At 38.8% G+C, this 20,198-nt stretch overlaps 1 protein-coding gene across 8 annotated transcripts in view, besides 1 other annotated feature; it reads left to right on the top strand.

Moving 5' to 3' along the window:
- Positions 1-20,198, top strand: part of SPG11 (SPG11 vesicle trafficking associated, spatacsin) — a 100,967-nt gene that overhangs the window by 2,579 nt on the left and 78,190 nt on the right. For all 8 annotated transcript variants that reach the window (XR_001751402.2, NM_001411132.1, NM_001160227.2 and 5 more), the window contains exons 2-7: positions 468-652; positions 1,781-2,005; positions 3,788-3,989; positions 8,818-8,955; positions 9,145-9,593; positions 12,073-12,218. Coding sequence is in view for 7 of the 8 variants with exons in the window: in NM_001411132.1 (NP_001398061.1) it covers positions 468-652; positions 1,781-2,005; positions 3,788-3,989; positions 8,818-8,955; positions 9,145-9,593; positions 12,073-12,218 (1,345 nt within the window). In the remaining variant the exon portion in view is untranslated. The remainder of the gene's footprint in view (positions 1-467; positions 653-1,780; positions 2,006-3,787; positions 3,990-8,817; positions 8,956-9,144; positions 9,594-12,072; positions 12,219-20,198) is intronic.
- Positions 16,502-16,606: a silencer, noted in NCBI's record as "fragment chr15:44936676-44936780 (GRCh37/hg19 assembly coordinates)". NCBI's record gives its function as "represses an EF-1alpha promoter that drives an FKBP-Casp9 reporter gene in an ReSE screen in phorbol 12-myristate 13-acetate-treated (for megakaryocytic differentiation) K562 erythroleukemia cells {active_cell/tissue: K562(+PMA)}" and the evidence as "EXISTENCE:reporter gene assay evidence [ECO:0000049][PMID:32094911]".

The following is a 20,198-nucleotide window of genomic DNA, read 5'->3' as shown; positions in this document are numbered from 1 at the left end:
GGCAGAGTTTTTCAAGATTTGGAATCGTCAGTCTATAAATACAAATAATCACTTTCTTTTAAAAGTCAAAACATTTAAGTTATCAAAAGCCTATTTTATTGTGAATACCACCTCATATAAATAATATACATATTTTGTTGTTGATACCTACCCTTGATCATGACAGTTTGTTTAAACATACTAGTTGGGATTAAAGATGAAAGAATAAATGGAGCCATCATTTCTTGCTCTGAGCCCCACATTTTTGTTTTTTACCACCCACTCCTGTATTTTCGTGTTGGTGTAAAAGGGAAGCGGGAAGAGGAGGGAGGTCCTAGAGCAGTTTATGTTCTCTTAGATTGAAGTGTAGAATGACTATACCAGGTCAACTAAACTGTTCTCTACTTATTCAACCCTTCTACCCCCACCATTGTGGGTAAATATTATTGCGGATATAGAATATAATAAATCTAAACTTTTTTTCTTAGCTTTCTATGGGAGGATTCTCGTAACAGCAGCACACCAACTGAAAAGCCCAAACTGCTCGCTCTTGGTGAAAATTATGAACTGCTTATCTATGAATTTAATTTGAAAGATGGAAGATGTGATGCAACCATTTTGTATAGCTGTAGTAGGGAGGCATTGCAAAAGCTCATTGACGATCAAGATATCAGTAAGTATCTACAGGTGGTCTTTCAGCATATTTAAATTTGTGACATTACCATGTAGTTACATACTTCAGGAAAAGTCATAGAGGTGAAATCAGGTCTACGCTGTCTGATATAGTAGTCACTAGGCAGATGGGGCTATTGAGCACTTGAAATATGGTTAATATGAATTAAGATGTACTTTGTGTCATATACATATTAGATTTTGAAGACTTAATACTAAAAATAAAATATCTCAATTTTTTGTATTTAATTACATTTCAAAATATGAAATACTTTGAATATAAGCTAATGTATATTATTAAAATTAATTTCACCTGTTTCAATGTGGCTACCAGAAAATTTTATTTATTTATTTTTATTTTATTTTATTTTTTTGAGACAGTCTCGCTCTGTCACCCAGGCTGGAGTGCAGTGGTGCCATCTCAGCTCACTGCAACCTTCGCCTCCCCAGTTCAACTGATTGTCCCACCTCAGCCTTCTGAGTAGCTTAGACTACAGGCGCCCGCCGCCACGCCCAGCTAACTTTTATATTTTTAGTAGAGACAGGGTTTCGCCATGTTGGCCAGGCTGGTCTCAAACTCCTGACCTCAAGTGATCTGCCCACCTGGGCCTCCCAAAGTGCTGGGATTACAGGTGTGAGCCACCCCTGCTAGAAAATTTTAAGTCATGTATGTGGCTCACATTATATTTCTATTGGACAGTGCTGATCTAGACTGCTTATAGAGCTGTTGACTGCCGGGAGCAGAAATCAAAGCACTCAGGCCTCTATTTTTAAAGCAGTAACATACTCTTCACCCTTGATTATAAGGTTTCTTCTTTTTTTCTTTTAAAAAAAGAAAAAGTCTTCTTATGGGGTCCCATGGGTAAGTTGGCTTTTTTGAATACTCCTTCTAGTGTGCTGTCAGACTAGCATAAATGGAATCAGGGACATTGTAGGCCATCTTTAGTCATCCTCTTACCTACCTCCCAGTGACTACTTCCTTAGGTGGGTGTGAACGATAACTGCGTAAAGTTAGACTAAGTCCAGTTCCTTTTTTGTTTTACTTTTTTGTATTAGGTTTATCAAATCAAATGTACCAGTTGTAAAATTGTGACCAATGAGTTTGAAATAATATCCTTTTGTTTTGTAGGTATTTCCTTATTGTCTTTGAGAATCCTGTCATTTCACAATAACACATCATTACTGTTCATCAACAAATGTGTCATCCTACATATTATATTTCCTGAAAGAGATGCTGCAATTAGAGTACTCAACTGTTTCACACTTCCCTTGCCTGCACAGGCAGTGGACATGATTATTGACACGCAGCTCTGCAGAGGAATTCTTTTTGTTTTGAGTAGTTTAGGCTGGATCTGTATCCTTGGTGGTAGAAGTGTTGATTGATACGTAGAGGAGAAGAACACCTATAAAGATGAGCCTTTTTAGGCTTTAGTTTTGGGAGCTGGGATATAGGAAGTGTGGTTAGTTTTTCAGTAAAACTTTTCATGGAAAAAGATCCTCATAAACTTAAAATACTAAATTGTATATTGCTTTATATTTTAGTTGAATATTTTCCAGTATATACATTTTTAATAGTATTAACCATACATATCTGTGTTCTTTTAAAATTGTATATTCTCTGCATTACCTGTTTATTCAAAATGTATTTCTTGAATATCTACTATGTGCTTATGTGGCCAGGTGCGGTGGCTCACGCCTGTAATCCCAGCACTTTGGGAGGCCGAGGTGGGCGGATCACAAGGTCAGGAGTTCGAGACCAGCCTGGCCAATATGGTGAAACCCCGTCTCTGCTAAAAATACAAAAAAATTAGCCAGGCGTGGTGGTGCATGCCTGTAATCCCAGCTACTCGGGAGGCTGAGGCAGGAGAATTGCTTGAACCTGGGAGGTGGAGGTTGTGGTGAGCCAAGATCGTACCACTGCACTCCAGCCTAGGCAACAGACTGAGACTCTGTCTTAAAAAAAAAAAAAAAGCTTATGTTGTGATACATGTCTTTTCATGTATAAATATAGTCTACCTCTTGTCTCTAATGATGTTTCCATCATATTAATAAATGTTTGCTTTGCCACGTTAATTTGATCTTAGAAAATATTATGGGTTCTTTGTCTCCAGTAGATCTGTTGGTCATCAGCAAAATTATTCTGAAGATTTGACAAATTACCCCTTATATGATTTTGGAACTTTAATTTCTGAATTAAAATAATGGTTTTTATATTTTGTAATAGGTATATAATTTTTGCAAAAGTGTCATAAATCCTAAATTAACAATTATTGTTGCCAGGTTATGGAACTGCACTGTCCAGAACAGTAGGCACTAAGCGTATGTGGCTATTAAGCATATGAAATTGGCTAGCATAACTTGGGAACCGAATTTTTAATTTTGTGTAATTAGATTTTTTTTCTTCTCCTGAGACAGGGTCTCACTCTCACCCAGGCTGGAGTGCAGTGGCGTGATCTCGGCTCACTGCAACCCCTGCCTCCTGGGCTCAAGCGATTCTCGTGCCTTAGCCTCCCGAGTAGCTGGGACTATAGGCATGGGCCGCCACGCCCAGCTAATTTTTGTTACTTTAGATTTAAAAGCTGATACTCAGTTCAGTCATTGGAGAACTTTTAAGGATGTTTGTTACAACTTTAGTTGTTCCAACTTTAAACCTTAAATTTTATGAAGTCTCAATACAGATCAGGTATTTCTGATGAAAATTTAGTATGCAAATTAAGATGTGCTCTAAGTAAAATATCAGACTTTGAACATTTATAGAAGAAAAAACATAAAATGTCTCAGTTTTTATACTGACTGCATGTTGATAATACTTTGGATAGACAGTATTGGGTTACATAAAATAGTAGGTTTACCTCATCTCTTGGCCAGTGCTGTTGGAAAATAGCAGTGCCTCTGGGCCTGGCCCAGAGCAGATGTTCAGCAGGTATTGTTGAAGAACTTGGTATCAGGTTCTTTATTGTGGCATCAACTTCATAGTCATCTGGTTGTTATAATGGGGGCTTGCCTCAGTTTTCAGTCTTCTTCTGTTATACCTACAAAATTGGAGTGATAAAGTCTATAGCTCTTTCCCAACCTGTGCTTTAAATAGTTAGGCATACTTACAAAACTGGCATTTTCTTTTAACTCTAACTAAAAGACATTTTTGATGTTGTGGATGGTACATATGTAGCTCATGTGGATTTAGCACTTCACAAAGAAGACATGTGTAATGAGCAGCAACAGGAGCCAGCCAAGATTTCTTCATTTACTTCACTGAAAGTTTCTCAAGACCTCGATGTTGCAGTGATTGTCAGCTCCTCCAACTCCGCAGTTGCTCTTAACTTAAATTTGTATTTCAGGTATGTAGATGACTGCAGTTTCTAATTTGAGGTAAATAGTTAGACTGATAAGAGGTTAAAAATATCCTCGTTAGTTTTTTTTTTTTAACTAGTGTTTCTTTTTCTATTCAGTTAGATCATGTTCTAGCTAATACATTGTAAAGTAGTTACTGAATAATATGTATAACTGACCACTGGCTACCTTTTATATTTTTACATGTTCATCAAAGTTTTGATTTTGATTTGATTTATATATGGTTTATGTCATGTAAATCAAAATTACACAATTTTAAACCACAGTTTAGCACTTAATTGTATAGACATGTTATTTCCCTAATTTTCTCATGTTTCCCATAGAGTTTATAAGCTCCTTGAGAACCCAAGTTCATGATTTGTTCTTTAAATTCATTGTCAATGACTTTTTCTTCCAGTTTACCTTAGCTTTCCACCTCCACAGCCATACCCTAGGCATTATCAATATTTGAAGTCGTCCCTCCCCCAAGTCACTACTTTTTACATCTCAGTCTCTGACCACAACTTCCCAAACTTTCCAGCTTGCTTACTCAAGTACTCCCACTTCACCTGTCCTCTGACCTAACTGGAATTTCCAATTCATTGACCTTCCACTCTTTACCCCATCCTGTCTTCACTTCCCTCTCTTTCCAGCATAGATTCTGTGATCCATCATACAGTTACTTTCTTGCATGTACTCTAAACTCTTGCTCCTGCCCTGTGATAGCACTTGGTCTGGCAAAATTTCAACCCTGATTGAAATCTTTTTTTCTGCCTTCACAGTGTCTGCAGTCAGACAGCTGAGTACTTGTAGAAAACAACAAAAGAAAATTGATACCACTCTAGGTTCACACTTAGTACCTTTAATTGGTCTTAATGTTGCCTGGAAATTTTACAGTGATTTTTCATGAGCCCATTCTTTACAACTGTATTTTTAAACCTTCTCTGTTTTCCTCAAACCTCCATTAATCTCTTTATTCCCAACTTTTCTTGGATGACCTTGCCTCCTATGAAGGCCCATCCCTCTGTGTGTGCTTTAGATCCCATTCCTTCCATCCTTCTTAGGGGCCTTTCTCCATTTCCTCTCTTTTTTATATAGTTGTCGCCTTTATCCACAGTTACAGTTTCTCCCAGTCAGTTGTGTTCCGGAAATATTACATACAGTAAGATATTTTAAGAAAGACTACATTCACATAACTTTTATTACAGTATATTGTTGTAATTGTCCTATTATTAGTTATTACTCCCTCACTGGGCCTAATTTATAAATTAAACTTTATTATAGGTATGTATGCATAGGAAAAAACAGTACAGTTGACCCTTCAACAACTCAGGGATGCCAACCCCCTGCACGATCAAAATGCCACATGTAACTTTTGACTCCCCCAAAACTTAACTACTAATAGCCTACAGTTGACCAGAAACCTTACTGATAACATAAACAGTTGGTTAACACATATTTTCTATGTTATATGTATTACACTATATTCTTACAATAAAGTAAGCTACAGAAAAGAAAATGTTAAGAAAATTTTAAGGAAGCGAAAATACATTTACAGTACTGTACTGTATTGATACTCTACATAATCTGTTTACAAGATGAGTAGTCTGTCTGAAAAGGCAAGCAACCGCAGCAGCATACCTCAACCCATGGTACATGTCAGGCAATTCATGTTTTTCTTACAATGTCATGACTTTTCTCTACTTGGGAGCACTTCCAGCATTACATTTCATATGGGTCCCATGGTGTTATACAAGGTTATGGTATGGCACGAAACATGATGAAAAATACATGAGAACCACAAGAAATCACTTTTAAAAAATTATGTTGTTATTATTTTAGAGACAGGATCTTGCTATGTTGTCCAGGCTGGACTCAAACTCCTGGGCCCAAGCAGTCCTCCAACTCAGCCTCCCGAGTAGCTGGGACTATACGTTCACGTCACTGTGCCAGCTAAAGAGATCACTTTTTACTGTGTTACACAATTTACTGGAGAGAAGAACTGCTCACACAGAGATTATTAGTACCACATGGCATTTTAAGCAGATGCTTACAACACTAGGGCTCACTGCAATGGCAACAGGAAGTGGCCATGATATTATTACAGCAGTACAGTATATACTACAGCTAATTATATGCAGTTATTTAATACTGCATCTTGACATTCGTTTACATTTTCTTTGGCTTCGAATGGTATCATGTACAGTCCGTAAGTGTGTACATTACATAGGTTCTGATAAATGTTAACTTTTTTTTTTTCTTTTTTGAGATGGAGTTTCGCTCTTGTTGTCCGGGATGGAGCGCAATGGTGCAATCTCAGCTCACTGCACCCTCCGCCTCCTGGGTTCAAGCGATTCTCCTGTCTCAGCATCCTGAGTAGCTGGGATTACCCACCACCCACGCCTGGCTAATTTTTTGTATTTTTAGTAGAAATGGGGTTTCACCGTGTTGGCCAGGCTGGTTTTGAACTTATGACCTCAGATGATCCGCCCACCTTGGCCTCCCAAAAATGCTGGGATTACAGGCGTGAGCCACCGCGCCCAGCCAATCTTAACTTTTTATAATAAGTTTGTGGGTTTCTTTTTTTTTAATTTTGAGATGGAGTCTTGCTCTATTGCCAAGGTTGGAGTGCAGTGGTGCAGTCTCGGCCCACTGCAAGGTCCGCCTCCTGGGATCAAGTGATTCTCGTGTCTCAGCCTCCCAAGTAGCTGGGATTATAGGCATGTGCCACCACGCCCAGCTAATTTTTGTATTTTCAGTAGAAACGGTTTCGCCATGTTGGCCGGGCTGGTCTTGAACGCCTGACCTCAAGTGATCCACCTGCCTCAGCCTCCCAAAGTGCTGGGATTACAGACATGAGCCACTGTGCCCAGCCAATTTGTGCATAATTTATGGTAGAAAATGATAGAGTAGTAACTATGTAACTTTTATGCATTCATGACATACCTGACTTAATCTTTATTTTAAAAAATATTTCTAGGCTAAACTGGGCATGGTAGTACATGCCTGTGGTCTCAGCTACTCCGGAGGCTGAGGCAGGAGGATTGCTTGAGTCCAGGAGATCAAGGCTACAGTGAGCTGTCATTGCACCACTGCACTCCAGCCTGGGCAACAGAGCAAGACCCTGTCTGAAAAAAATATATTTCTAGGCTACATGGTTCATTTGTGAGTTTAAACAAATTGTTGCAAATCTTTACAAATTTTTCCAATGTATTTTTGGAAAAAAAAAATCATATAAGTGGACCCATGGAGTTCAAACCTGTGATATTCAAGGGTCAACTGTATGTATAGGGTTTGGTACTATCTGCAGTTTCAGGTACCTACTGTGTGTCTTGAATGTATCCACTGTGGATAAGAGGGAACTACTGTATCTCCAACTTCTTTTTGGTATTAGATCCACATCCAGTTAATCATCAGGTCCTACCCTTTCTGTCTCCTAAATGTTTCTTTGTCCACTTTTCTCAACTCTTCTGTCGTCACTCTATGCCACCATTATCTCTTAACTGAACTATTTTAATAGTCTCCTACTTGATCTCCTCATGCCTATTACCCCCTCAAATCCATCCACAATAGAGTAGCTAAGAGTGATGTTGTTAAAATGCATATTTTATCAGAGGTGTAGCCAGTCATTAACATCTGGGGCAGGGGTATCTACCTTTTATTTTGTTGATGGGGGAACTATTTTCTCATGCATCTTCTCATTTTCGCCCTACCTTCTCTAACTTCTTTTCATCATCATCCTGGGACAGTGTCATATGGTTGTGTCAACAAATTACCTTCAAGTTGTTTAAAGGATTAATATTTAATAATGTAAGTGTTCAAAGAGATAAAATCCTTCCCCTTCTTCCCCTAGCTACTCTGCTGCATCTGTTCATATTGCTTTTCTGCTTAAAAGCCTTCTTCAGGTTCCTTTTCCCCCTCAGATAAAAGTTTAAAATTCTTAATAGCCTATGGGGCCCTGAACCATCTTTCTAGCCTCATCCCATTCCATCTTACTTCTCATTTTCTGTACATTAGCCACCCTAGCCTTCTTTGTTTCTCAAATGTAACAGCCCCCTTTTCCACATATACTCTCCCACCTATACCCACATACATACTTTACCTTCTAGTTCTTATGCATTCCTCTGGTCGCAGCCTAAATCTTACTTTGTGGTGGCAGTATAATGAGTGATTTTAAAATCTGGACTGGAGGCCGAGGCAGGCACATCACTGGAAGTCAGGAGTTTGAGACCAGCTTGGCCAATATATAGTAAAACCCTGTCTCTACTAAAAATACAGAAATTAGCCAGGCATGGTGGCATGCACCTGCAGTCCCAGCTACTCGGGAGGCTAAGACAGGAGAATCGCTTGAACCCAGGAGGCAGAGGTTGCAGTGAGCTGAGATTGCGCCACTGCACTCCAGCCTGGGTGACAGAGTGAGACTCTGTCTCAAAAAAAAAAAAAAGAAAAAAAGCTAGACTTGATAGTCACATTAGTCTGTTTCAAAGTGTTTCTGAACCTTAGTTTCCATTTCTATAAGATGGGGTTATATTTACCTCACAGGGTTGTTAGAGGCTTAAATAAGAGTTTGTGTGAAGTGTTTAGCATAACATCTGAAATATAGTAGACAGTAAGTGTTCTTACTGCTTTATCAAGCTAACTGCCCTTAATAGAGTAAAATTCTTAGAGTTCACTCTATTACTGTGACATAAGCAAGGGAGATAAGGAGTTCCTTTCTGCGGAATTTGTTGTACTATTCCTTCTCTGTAATCTCTTATTTTTAACAGGAGCAGTAGTAACACAAATTTGGGTTTGATCATCATTTTTTCATATGTCTATCATTATTTTTAAATGTAGGCAACACCCAGGACACCTACTGTGTGAAAGAATACTAGAAGATCTTCCTATTCAAGGACCTAAGGGCGTAGATGAAGATGATCCTGTTAACTCTGCCTACAACATGAAACTGGCCAAGTTTTCCTTCCAAATTGATAGGTACAGAAACTTCCTTTTCATGTAGTTTATTGTTCTTATTTTTTATCATGCTGACGCTGTACCCTTTCATTAAAGGTCTTTATTTGATAGATACTTTTTTTTTTTAAGAACATCTTTGCCCTGGTTTAGTGTTTTACATAGTGCCTTTTACTGTGACAGGTGTTAAGTTATATTTTACCTTGTTTCCAGGTCTTGGAAAGCCCAGCTATCATCATTGAATGAAACAATAAAGAACTCCAAACTGGAGGTTTCCTGTTGTGCTCCATGGTTCCAGGATATTTTGCATTTGGAGTCACCTGAATCTGGTAACCACAGTACAAGTGTGCAGAGCTGGGCCTTCATTCCACAGGACATAATGCATGGGCAATATAATGTTCTACAGAAAGATCATGCCAAGACCAGTGATCCAGGAAGATCATGGAAAATAATGCACATCAGTGAACAAGAGGAACCCATAGAGCTTAAATGTGTGTCTGTGACAGGATTCACTGCACTGTTTACTTGGGAAGTGGAAAGGATGGGCTATACCATTACCCTCTGGGATTTGGAGACCCAGGGCATGCAGTGTTTTTCCCTTGGCACAAAGTGTATTCCTGTAGACAGTAGTGGAGACCAGCAGCTGTGCTTTGTTTTGACAGGTGAGACTGTCTTGTATTAGATTGAAATCCATTGCTGAGATGTATGCTTTCCTACTGTATTTTACTTCTGCCTCAGTGCCTGCTCTTGCCTTTAAGTGGTATTGTAATTGTTTATAGAGGAAGTTTCTTGTTATTCTTGGTAATAGTGTCTCATATGTTTGGCTTTTAATTAACGTCATTTCTGCCCAGCTAAATGCTAAGATACTAAGAGAAAGTTTGAGAGAAATGAAGTTTATTATTATTATTATTTTTAACCCAAAGAGTCTTCATTTGACTTCACAAGCAGAGGTTGTAAGCAAGGTGCTCATGGGCCATGTATGAACTGCATATTTATTTTGCTTGGCTTGCACTGTCTAGGCTTTTAAAAAAGATTATAAACATTCAGAATGAGAGGATTTCACACAAATTCTAATTTCCAGCTGTTACTGAAAAATTATAAGATCTGCCGGGTGCGGTGGCTCACGCCTGTAATCCCAGCACTTTGGGAGGCTGAGGTGGATGGATAACCTGAGGTTGGGAGTTCAAGACCAGCCTGACCAATATGGTGAAACCCTGTCTCTACTAAAAATACAAAAATTAGCCTTGCGTGGTGGCCGGCACCTGTAGTCCCAGCTACATGGGAGGCCGAGGCAGGAGAATTGCTTGAACCTGGGAGGCGGAGGTTGCAGTGAGCCGAGATTGCACCACTGCCCTCCAGCCTGGGAGACAGTGAGACTCCGTCTCAAAAAAAAGAAAAAATTGTAAGATCTGGCAACACTGGATCTGCATTCCTGCATAGTAACTTATGGGTTGGAGCTGAGTTTCAGTTGTTCTCTTAGATGGGCCATTTTATTTCTCTTTTTTTTAATTTACTTTTTTTTTTTTTTAGGCAGAGTGTCACTCTGTCGCCCAGGCTGGAGTGCAGTGGTGCGATCTTGGCTCACCACAACCTCCACCTCCCTCCAGAGTAGCTGGGACCACAGGCACGCACCACCACTCCCAGCTAATTTTTGTATTTTTAGTAGAGACGACGTCTCGCTCTGTTGGCCAGGTTGGTCTGAAACGCCTGACCTCAAACAGTCCACCTGCCTCAGCCTCCCAAAGTGTTGGGATTACAGGTGTGAGCAACCACACCTGGCTGTACTTTTATTTTTTAATAGAGATGAGGTCTCACTACCTTGCCCAGGCTGGTCTCAAACTCCTGAGCTCAAGTGATCATCCCGGCTTGGCCTCCCAAAGTGCTAGGATTACAGGCGTGAGCCACCATGCTTAGCCTGAGCCATTTTATTTCTGATTAGGTTTTTCTTGCACTTTTCTCACTACCTGCTTTGCCCCTGTACCCATGGGAGATTTTGATATTTCAGATATGCATTCATTCACCGCATAATTCATCTTCTGCAAAGGTATTGAATGTTGTGATTATTGGAATTAACCGTGTGTTTCTTCTATACCCAAATTTTGGTAATCATGTATTTCTATGTGTCAGGAATATGCTATGAATTATTTTATAATAGTAAACCAGAAATCTGACATCTGTAAATGATTAAAGGTTCCAGGATTGATTATGCAAGATAATATAAAGTAGAAATGTGGGGTTTAGTGCTTTTTTTTTTTTTTGATATGGAGTCTCACTCTTGTCTCCCTGGCTGGAGTGCAATGGTGTGATCTGGCTCACTGCAACCTCCGCCTCCCAGGTTCAAGTGATTCTCCTGCCTCACCCTCCCGAGTAGCTGGGATTACAGGTGCCCGCCACCACACCTGGCTAAATTTTTGTGTATTTTTGGTAGAGACGGGGTTTCATCATGTTGGCCAGGCTGGTCCCAAACTCCTGACCTCAGGTGGTCTGCCCACCTCGGCCTCCTGAAGTGCTGGGATTACAGGCAGGAGCCACTGTGCCTGGCTAATTTAGTGCTATTTCATAAAATGCATTGCTCTTATAAGAATTTGCCTTGTGGTCAGTGTTTTAAAGACAAATTTTCTTGGTGGGTGCAGTGGCTCACGCTTGTAATCAAAACATTTGGGAGGCCAAGGTGGGAGGATCACTTGAAGCCAGGAGTGTGAGACCAGCCTGGGAAACAAAGTGAAACCCTATTGCTACAAAACAATTTAAAAATTTTTTTAAATTAGCAAAACAGTTTTTTAAAAATTAGCTGGGTGTGATGGCATGAAACTGTAATTCCAGCAACTCCAGAGGCTGAGGTGGGAGGATTGCTTGAGCCCAGGAGTCTGAGGCTGCAGTGAGCTATGATCACACCACTGCCCTCCGGCCTAGGCAATAGAGGGAGACTCTGTCTCTAAAAAGGAAAAACCCACAAAACTCGCCTATAAAAATGTTGAAAAACCATGATGAGTTAAGATCATTATAGTACATGATATCCAGTAAATATAAATATATTTGTAATTATAGTACTGAAGTATTGAGTAATTAAAAATCAATTCCTAAATCATAATCCTAAAATCTAATCTAATTTGTTAAAGCTAACTTTTATTTTTCCTATAGAGAATGGACTCTCTCTGATTTTGTTTGGTTTGACTCAAGAAGAGTTTTTAAACAGACTCATGATCCATGGAAGTGCCAGCACTGTGGACACTCTTTGTCATCTCAATGGCTGGGGAAGGTGCTCAATTCCCATACATGCACTAGAGGTAACAGAATTAAATGCCCAAGAACATTACTTAATTATTTTGTGTTATATACTTTTATTCGATTTAGGATTTGAGAGAATTCATTTAATTTAGCAGCAAAAAGAACTATAGCCTTTGTATATCTATTTAAACAGTTCTGGCTGTTTCATTACCCTAACTCTGCTTAGCAGTTTACCCTTTTTGGCTTTAAAAGATATAAGATTATAGTAAATAATAAGAAAAAGGTACAGGAAATGGAGGCAACATTAAGCTAATGAGACTAAATGAAGTGGAAATAAGCTATGGAAAGCTTGAACAGTAATGATCTTTTATTCCTACCTTATGCTTCCTACTTTTTTTTTTTTTTTTTTTTTGACACAGGGTGTCACTTTATTGCCCAGGCTGGAGTGCAGTGGTGCAATCTCAGCTCACTGCAACCTCCGCCTCCCAGGTTCAAGCAATTCTCCCACCTCAGCCTCCCCAGTAGGTGGGACTACAGGCACGCGCCACCATGTCCAGCTAATTTTTGTATTTTTTGGTAGAGGCAGGGTTTTGCCATGTTGGCCATGGCTGGTCTCTAACTCCTAATTTCAAGTGATTCACCCGCTGTGTCCTAGAGTGCTGGGATTACAGGAGTGAGCCACTGCACCCAGCCTGCTTCCTACTATTCTGATCCAACTTCAGAAGAGGCATAACCTGAATTTATGTAAGATTTTATAATTCACAAACACTCTTTTACATGGAATATCTAATTTGGTCCCAAAACAACCATATGAGACAGATTGGGTTGTTTATATTCTTTTTATTTTACAGATGAAGAAACTTAGGCTTTCAGTGATTGAGTGGGTGACCCAGAGCCATGTTAATAAAGACAGGAGCTAGAATCAAGGGCAGGGTACCTTCTGCTATACTCACAGTCCCTGAAGTTAATAATGTTATGTGCCAGTTTCTTTAAATGACAGCTTTATTGAGATATAAATCACATACCCATAAAATTCACCCTTTTAAAATGTACAATTCAATGGCCTGTGGTATATTCAGAGTTGTGCAGCCATCACCACTAATTCTAGAACATTTTCATCACCTCAAAAAGAAAGTCCATAACCATTAGTGGCCACTCCCTATTTCCTGTTGTCTCCAAGTCTTAAACACCAATCTACTTTCTGACTGGATTTTTCTATTCTGGACATTTCATGTAAATTGAATTATAAAATATGTGACCTTTGTGACAGGCATCTTTGACCTAGCATGTTTTCAAAGTTCATCCATGTTGTAGCATGTCACTACAACTTCATTCCTTTTTATGGCTGAATATTCCATTGTATCAATATATACTGCATTTTGTTTATCCATTCATCAGCTGATGGACATTTGGGTTGTCTCCACTTTCTAGCCATTATGAATAATCCTGCTGTGGACATTTGTGTACAAGTTTTTGTGTTGACATATGTTTTCATTTCTCTGGGGTATATACCTAGCTGTGGAATTACTGGGTCATTTATTATTTTTGAGGAATCCCCAAACTTCCACAGTGACTGCACCATTTTACATTCCCATCAGCAATGTATGAGGGTTCTGCTAGCTGCACATCTTAGCTTAACACTTGTTATTGTTTGTTTTTTATTGCAGCCATCCTAGTCAGTGTGAAGTCAAAATGAAATGGCATCTCATTGTGGTTTTCATTTGTATTTTCCTAATGACTAAACATGTTGAACATGTTTTCATATGCTTATTGGCTATTTGTGTGTCGTCTTTGGAGAAATGTCTGTCAAATTAGGTTGTCTTTTTATTGAGTTCTAAGAGTTGTGTATATATTCTGGATGCTAGACTCTATGACATACATGATTTACAAATACTTTCTCCCGTTCTTTGGGTTGTTATTTCACCTTTTTAAAATTTTTTTAACTTTTATTTTAGGTTCAGGGGTACATTTGCAGGTTTGTCACATAGGTAAATTGCATATCATGGGGGTTTGGTGTACAGATTATTTCATCACTCAGGTAATAAGCATAGTACCTGATAGGCAGTTTTCAATCCTCACCTTCCTCCTACCCTCCACCCTCAAGTAAGCCCCAGTGTCTGTTGTTCTCTTCTTTTTGTTCATGTGTACTGTGTTTAGCTCCCACTTATAAGTGAGAACACCCAGTATCTGATTTTCTGTTCCTGCATTAGTTCACTTAGGATAATGGCCTCTAGCTCCATCCGTGTTGCTGCAAAGGACATGACCTCGCTCTTTTTTATGGCTGCATAGTATTCCATCATGTATATGAATCACAAATTCTTTATCCAGTTGATATGGTTTGGCTCTGTGTCCCCACCCAAATCTCATCTTGAATTGTAATCCCCATGTGTCAAGGGAGGGAGGTGATTGCATCATGGGAGCAGTTTCCCCAGTGCTGTTCTCCTGATAGTGAGTTCTCAAGAGATCTGATGGTTTAAAAGTGGCAGTTTTCCCCTGTACTCTCTCTGCCACCATGTAAGGCATGCCTTGCTTCCCCTTCACTTTCTGCCATGATTGTAAGTTTCCTGAGGCCTCCCAGCCATGCAGAACTGTGAGTCAATTAAACCTCCCTTCTCAGGTAGTATCTTTGTAGCAGTGTGAGAACAGACTACTAATACACTAGTTTGCCAACCTAAATGCCAATCATGGGCATTTAGGTTGATTCCATATCTTTGCCATTGTCAATAGTGCCGTGAGGAATATATGTGTGCATGTATGTTTATGGTAGAATGATTTATATTCCTTTGGTTATATACCCAATAATGGGATTGCTGGGTTGAATGATAGTTCTGCTTTAAGTTCTTTGAGAAATCGCCAAATTGCTTTCCACATTGGCTGAGCTAATTTACATTCCCACCAGCACTGTATAAGCTTTCCCTTTTCTCTGCAACCTCGCTAGCACCTGTTATTTTTTGACTTTTTCATAATAGCCATTCTGACTGGTGTGAGATGGTATCTCATTGCGATTTTGATTTGCATTTCCCTAATGTTAAGTGATATTGAGCATTTTTTCATATGCTTATTGGTTATGTGTATGTCTTCTTTTGAAAAGAGAAGGACATGAAAGGACATGTCTGTTCATGTCCTTTTCCCACTTTTTAATGGGGTTGTTTTTTGCTTGTTAATTTGTTTAAGTTCCTTACGGATTCTGGATATTAGACCTTTGTCAGATGCATGGTTTGCAAATATTTTGTCTTATTCTGTAGGTTGTCTGTTTATTGATAGTTTATTTTGCTTTGCAGAAGCTCTTTAGTTTAATTAGGTCCCATTTGTCAATTTTTGGTTTTTGTTGCAATTGCTTTTGGTGTCTTTGTCATGAAATCTTTGCCAGGGCCTATGTCCAGAATGGTATTTTCTAGGTTATCTTCCAGGGTTTTTATAGTTTTAGGTTTTACTTTTAAGTCTTTAATCAAACTTGAGTTGATTTTTGTATGTGGTATAAGAAAGGGGTTCAGTTTCAATCATCTGCATATGGCTAGCCTTTTATCCCAGCACATTAATTGAATAGGGAGTTCTTTGCCCATTGTTTGTTTTTGTCAACTTTGTGGAAAACCAGATGGCTGTAGGTGTGTGGCTTTATTTCTGGGCTCTCTGTTCTGTTCTATTGGTCTATGTGTCTGCTTTTGTACCAGTACTATGCTGTTTTGGTTATTGTAGCCTTGTAGTATAGTTTGAAGTCAGGTGATGTGAAGTCTGCAGCTACAATTGGTCTTAGACAAAAGGCCGAGAAGTGATGATGTCTCCAGCTTTGTTCTTTTTGCATAGGATCGCTTTGGCTATTCAGGATCTTTTTTGGATCCATATGAATTTTAAAATAGTTATTTCTAATTCTGTGAAGAATGTCATTGGTAGTTTGATAGGAATAGCATTGAATATGTAAATTGCTTTGGTCAGTATGACCATTTTAACAATATTGATTCTTCCTCCATGAGCATGGGATGTTTTTCCATTTGTTTGTGTCATCTCTGATTTCTTTCAGCATTGTTCTGTAATTCTCATTGCAGAGATCTTTCATCTCTCTAACTGTATTTCTAGGTATTTTATTCTTTCTGTGACTTTTGTGAATGGGATTGCATTCTTTATTAGGCTCCCAGCTTGAATGTTGTTGGTGTATAGAAATGCTGCTGACTTTTTTTTTACATTGATTTTGTATCCTGAAACTTTGCCAAAGTTGTTTATCAGATCCAGGAGCTTTTGAACAGAGACTATGGGGTGTTCTAGGTATAGAATCATGTCAGCTGCAAACAGAGATAGTTTTACTTCCTCTCTTCCTATTTGGATGCCTTTTATTTCTTTCTCTTGCCTGATTTTTCTGGTTAGGACATCCAGTACTATGTTGAATAGGAGTGGTGAGAGTAGACATTTTTGTCTTGTTATGGTTCTCACAGAGAGTGCTTCCAGCTTTTGCCCATTCAGTATGATGTTGGCTATGGGTTTTTCATAAATGGCTCTTGATATTTTGAGATATGTTTCTTCAATGCCTAGTTTGTTGAGGGTTTTTAACATGAAGGGATGTTGAAGGGAGTACTACTTGAGGAGCAAGCAATGGTTTTTGTTTTTACTTCTGTTTATATGATGAATCACATTTATTGATTGCATATGTTGAACCAGTCTTGCATGCCAGGGATAAAGCCTACTTGATTCTGTTGGATTCGCTTTTTGATGTATTGCTGGATTCAGTTCACTAGTACTTTGTGGAGAATTTTTTTTTTTTTTTTTGAGATGGAGTCTTGCTCTGTTGCCCAGGCTGGAGTGCAGTGGCGCGATCTCGGCTCACTGCAAGCTCCACCTCCTGGGTTCACGCCATTCTCCTGCCTCAGCCTCCTGAGTAGCTGGGACTACAGGTGCCCACCACCACACCCGGCTAATTTTTTTTTTGTATTTTTAGTAGAGACAGGGTTTCACCGTGTTAGCCAGGATGGTCTCAAACTCCTGACCTCTTGATCGGCCTGCCTCAGCCTCCCAAAGTGCTGGGATTACAGGCGTGAGCCACCACTCCCAGCCAGAGAATTTTTATATCTATATTCATTAAGGATATTGGCCTGGTTTTCTCTTTTCATTGCGTCTCTGCCAGGTTTTGGTATCAGAATGATGCTGGCCTCATAGAATGAGTTGGGGAGGAGTTCCTCCTCAGTTTTTTTGGCTTTTCACCTTCTCGATGGTGTCCTTTGAAACGCAAAAGTGTTTTAGTCTTATGAAGTCAATGTATCTTTTTTGGGGGGATGAGGGGGTCATTTTTGCTTTTGGTGTTGAATCTGAGAAAGCATTGCCTAATCTGAGATTGTGCAGATTTATTCTTACAAGACTTTTATAGTTTTAGCTCTTACAGTTAGGTTTATTATGCACGTTAAGTTCAATTTCTTATATGGCATGAAGGAGGAAGCCAACTTCATTCTTTTGCATTCTTTGTGGATCTTCAGTTGTCCTTGCACCATTTGTTGAAAAACTTATTTTTATATACTCTAAAATATCATTGTAAGAAAAATAATTAAGTCTTCTGTAAATCTACCATCCAGAAGTAATCATGTTTACTATTTGGGTGTTATTTCCTTATAGTTATTTTTTCTATGTTAATAATAGACAAGTGTTATCTCATTAATTTTCTTATTATTAATACTGTTAGCCCCATTTTATAGATCAGGAAGCTGAAGCACAAAGAGGTTAGGAAATCTAACTCAGCTATACATGGGCATAGGTGGTAGCACCAGGATTTTAATTCACACAGTGCCTCTCCCCTTAAACAGTGCACATGTCTCTGTGTGAATTTAATTAGTATTGCATTGTATATACAACATTGCTTTGGCCCTGGTCTCCTCCTACATAAAAATGAATGAGTAATATATATTTTAAGTGATAACAATAGTAAAACAAATATTCTTGTATCCACCATCAAGGCAAGAAATAGAATATCATGGATATCTTTGAATGTGTATGCCCTGCCCTGATCCTATTCCCTTACCTTGCCTGGCCTCAGAATTAACCACTCTTCTGAAATTTTATTTATTTATTTGTTAATGAGACAGGGTCTTGCTCTGTCACCCAGGTTGGAGTGCAGTAGTGTGATCATAGTTCACTGTAACCTTGAATTCCTGGGCTCAAGTGATCCTCCTGCCTCAGCCTCCCAAGTAGCTGGGACTATAGGTATATACAACTGCACCCAGATAATTTTTATTATTTTTTTTTTTTTTGTAGAGGTGGAATCTTGCTTTGTTTCCCAGGTGAGTGTCGAATTCTTGGCCTCAAACAATCTTCCTGCTTTGGTCTCTTAAAGCACTGGGATTACAGGCATAAGCCACCATGCCCAGCCATTCTGAAATTTTTAACCATTCTCATGATTTTCTTTATTTTTCTGCATATAAATGTATCCCCAAATAATGCTATTTAGTTGTAGCTAATGTTGAATTTTGCATAAAATGGAACCACTGTGTATGTGTGTGTGTGTATATATATAATTATATATTTTACATATTTTTTTTTCTTTTCTTTCCTTTCTTTCTTTTTTTTTTCTTTTTTTTTTTTTTGAGATGGAGTCTTACTCTGTCACCCAGGCTGGAGTGCAGTGGAGCTATCTCAGCTTACTGCAACCTCTGCCTTCTGGGTTCAAGTGATTCTCCTGCCTCAGCCTCCTGAGTAGCTGGGATTACAGACACGTGCCACCACACCTGGCAACTTTTTGTATTTTAGTAGAGATGGGGTTTCACGATATTTGCCAGACTGGTCTCGAACTCTGACCTCAGGTGATCCTCCTGCCTCAGCCTCCCAAAGTGCTGGGATTACAGGTGTGAGCCACCATGCCTGGCAGTGTATATATATTTTTTGAGACTCAACATGATTTTTTTGATTCATCCATGTTTAATGTATATAACTATAGTTCATTCAGTTTCACCTCTGTATCGTATCCCACTGTATAATATGTCTTTATCTAGCTTTAAGTTGTTTCCTTTTTTTTTTTTTTTTTTTTTTCTGTTAAGCAGTGTTGCTGTAAAGTTTCTCATGTATCTGCTGCAGCACATGGGCAAGAGCGTCTCTAGGGTGAAAGCAGAATTGCTTGATCATACGGCATGCACATGTTTAATTTTATTGATAATACTCTAGTTTTCCAAGATTGTTTTATCAGTTTATGCTCTCACCAGCAGTGTATGGTTTCTCATTGTTGCATGTTCTTGATGTTCTTGCCAGCACTTAATTTATAACGTTTTTTCCAGTATGATGGTATGATGGATTTTCATTTGCATTTCCCTGATTAAGGTTTTGTGTGTGTGTGTGTGTGTGTGTGTGTGTGTGTGTGTGTGTGTGTGTAAGATATTTGGATTTTTTTTCTTTCATAAGTAACCGTTCAAGTTTTTTGCCTATTTTTCTTTTCGGGTATTTTTCTTTTTCTTATTGGTTTATAGTGTTGGATATTCTCTAGATACCAATTCTTTGTTGTTTGTGTGGTGGATGTATTCTAGTCTGTGGCTTGTCTTTTTACTTAATTCGTGGAATCTTTAATATAGTTCTTAATTTTAATGGAATTTAATTAATCAGTCTTTTCCTTTATGACTAATGCTATTTGTGACATCTATCCTTAAATTATATAGTTTCTGTTTTTTCCTAAAAGTTTTTCAATTATGAATTTTTTTTAATGCAGTGGAGAGATCTCAGCTCACAGCAATCTCTGCCTCCCAGGTTCAAGCCATTCTCCTGCCTCAGCCTTCTAAGTAGCTGGGATTACAGGCACCTACCACTACACCCAGCTATAAATTATGATTTTCACATTTAAGTTCTTTATCCATTTAAAACTTATACATGATATGGGCTATTTTAATTTTTTCCCATACCGATAACCATTTGTCTGAGCACTTTTTTGAAAAGTCCTGGCTGGGTGCGGTGGCTCACGCCTGTAATCCCAGCACTTTGGGAGGCCAAGGCAGGCAGATCGCAAAGTCAAGAGATCGAGACCATCCTGGCCAACATGGTGAAACCCCGTCTCTACTAAAAATACAAAAATTGCTGGGCAT

The sequence above is a fragment of the Homo sapiens genome, chromosome 15 (assembly GCF_000001405.40).
Source record: "Homo sapiens chromosome 15, GRCh38.p14 Primary Assembly".
Taxonomy (NCBI): domain Eukaryota; kingdom Metazoa; phylum Chordata; class Mammalia; order Primates; family Hominidae; genus Homo; species Homo sapiens.
The sequence above is the reverse complement of the archived record's forward strand: the minus strand, read 5'-3'. Positions and strand labels throughout refer to the sequence as shown.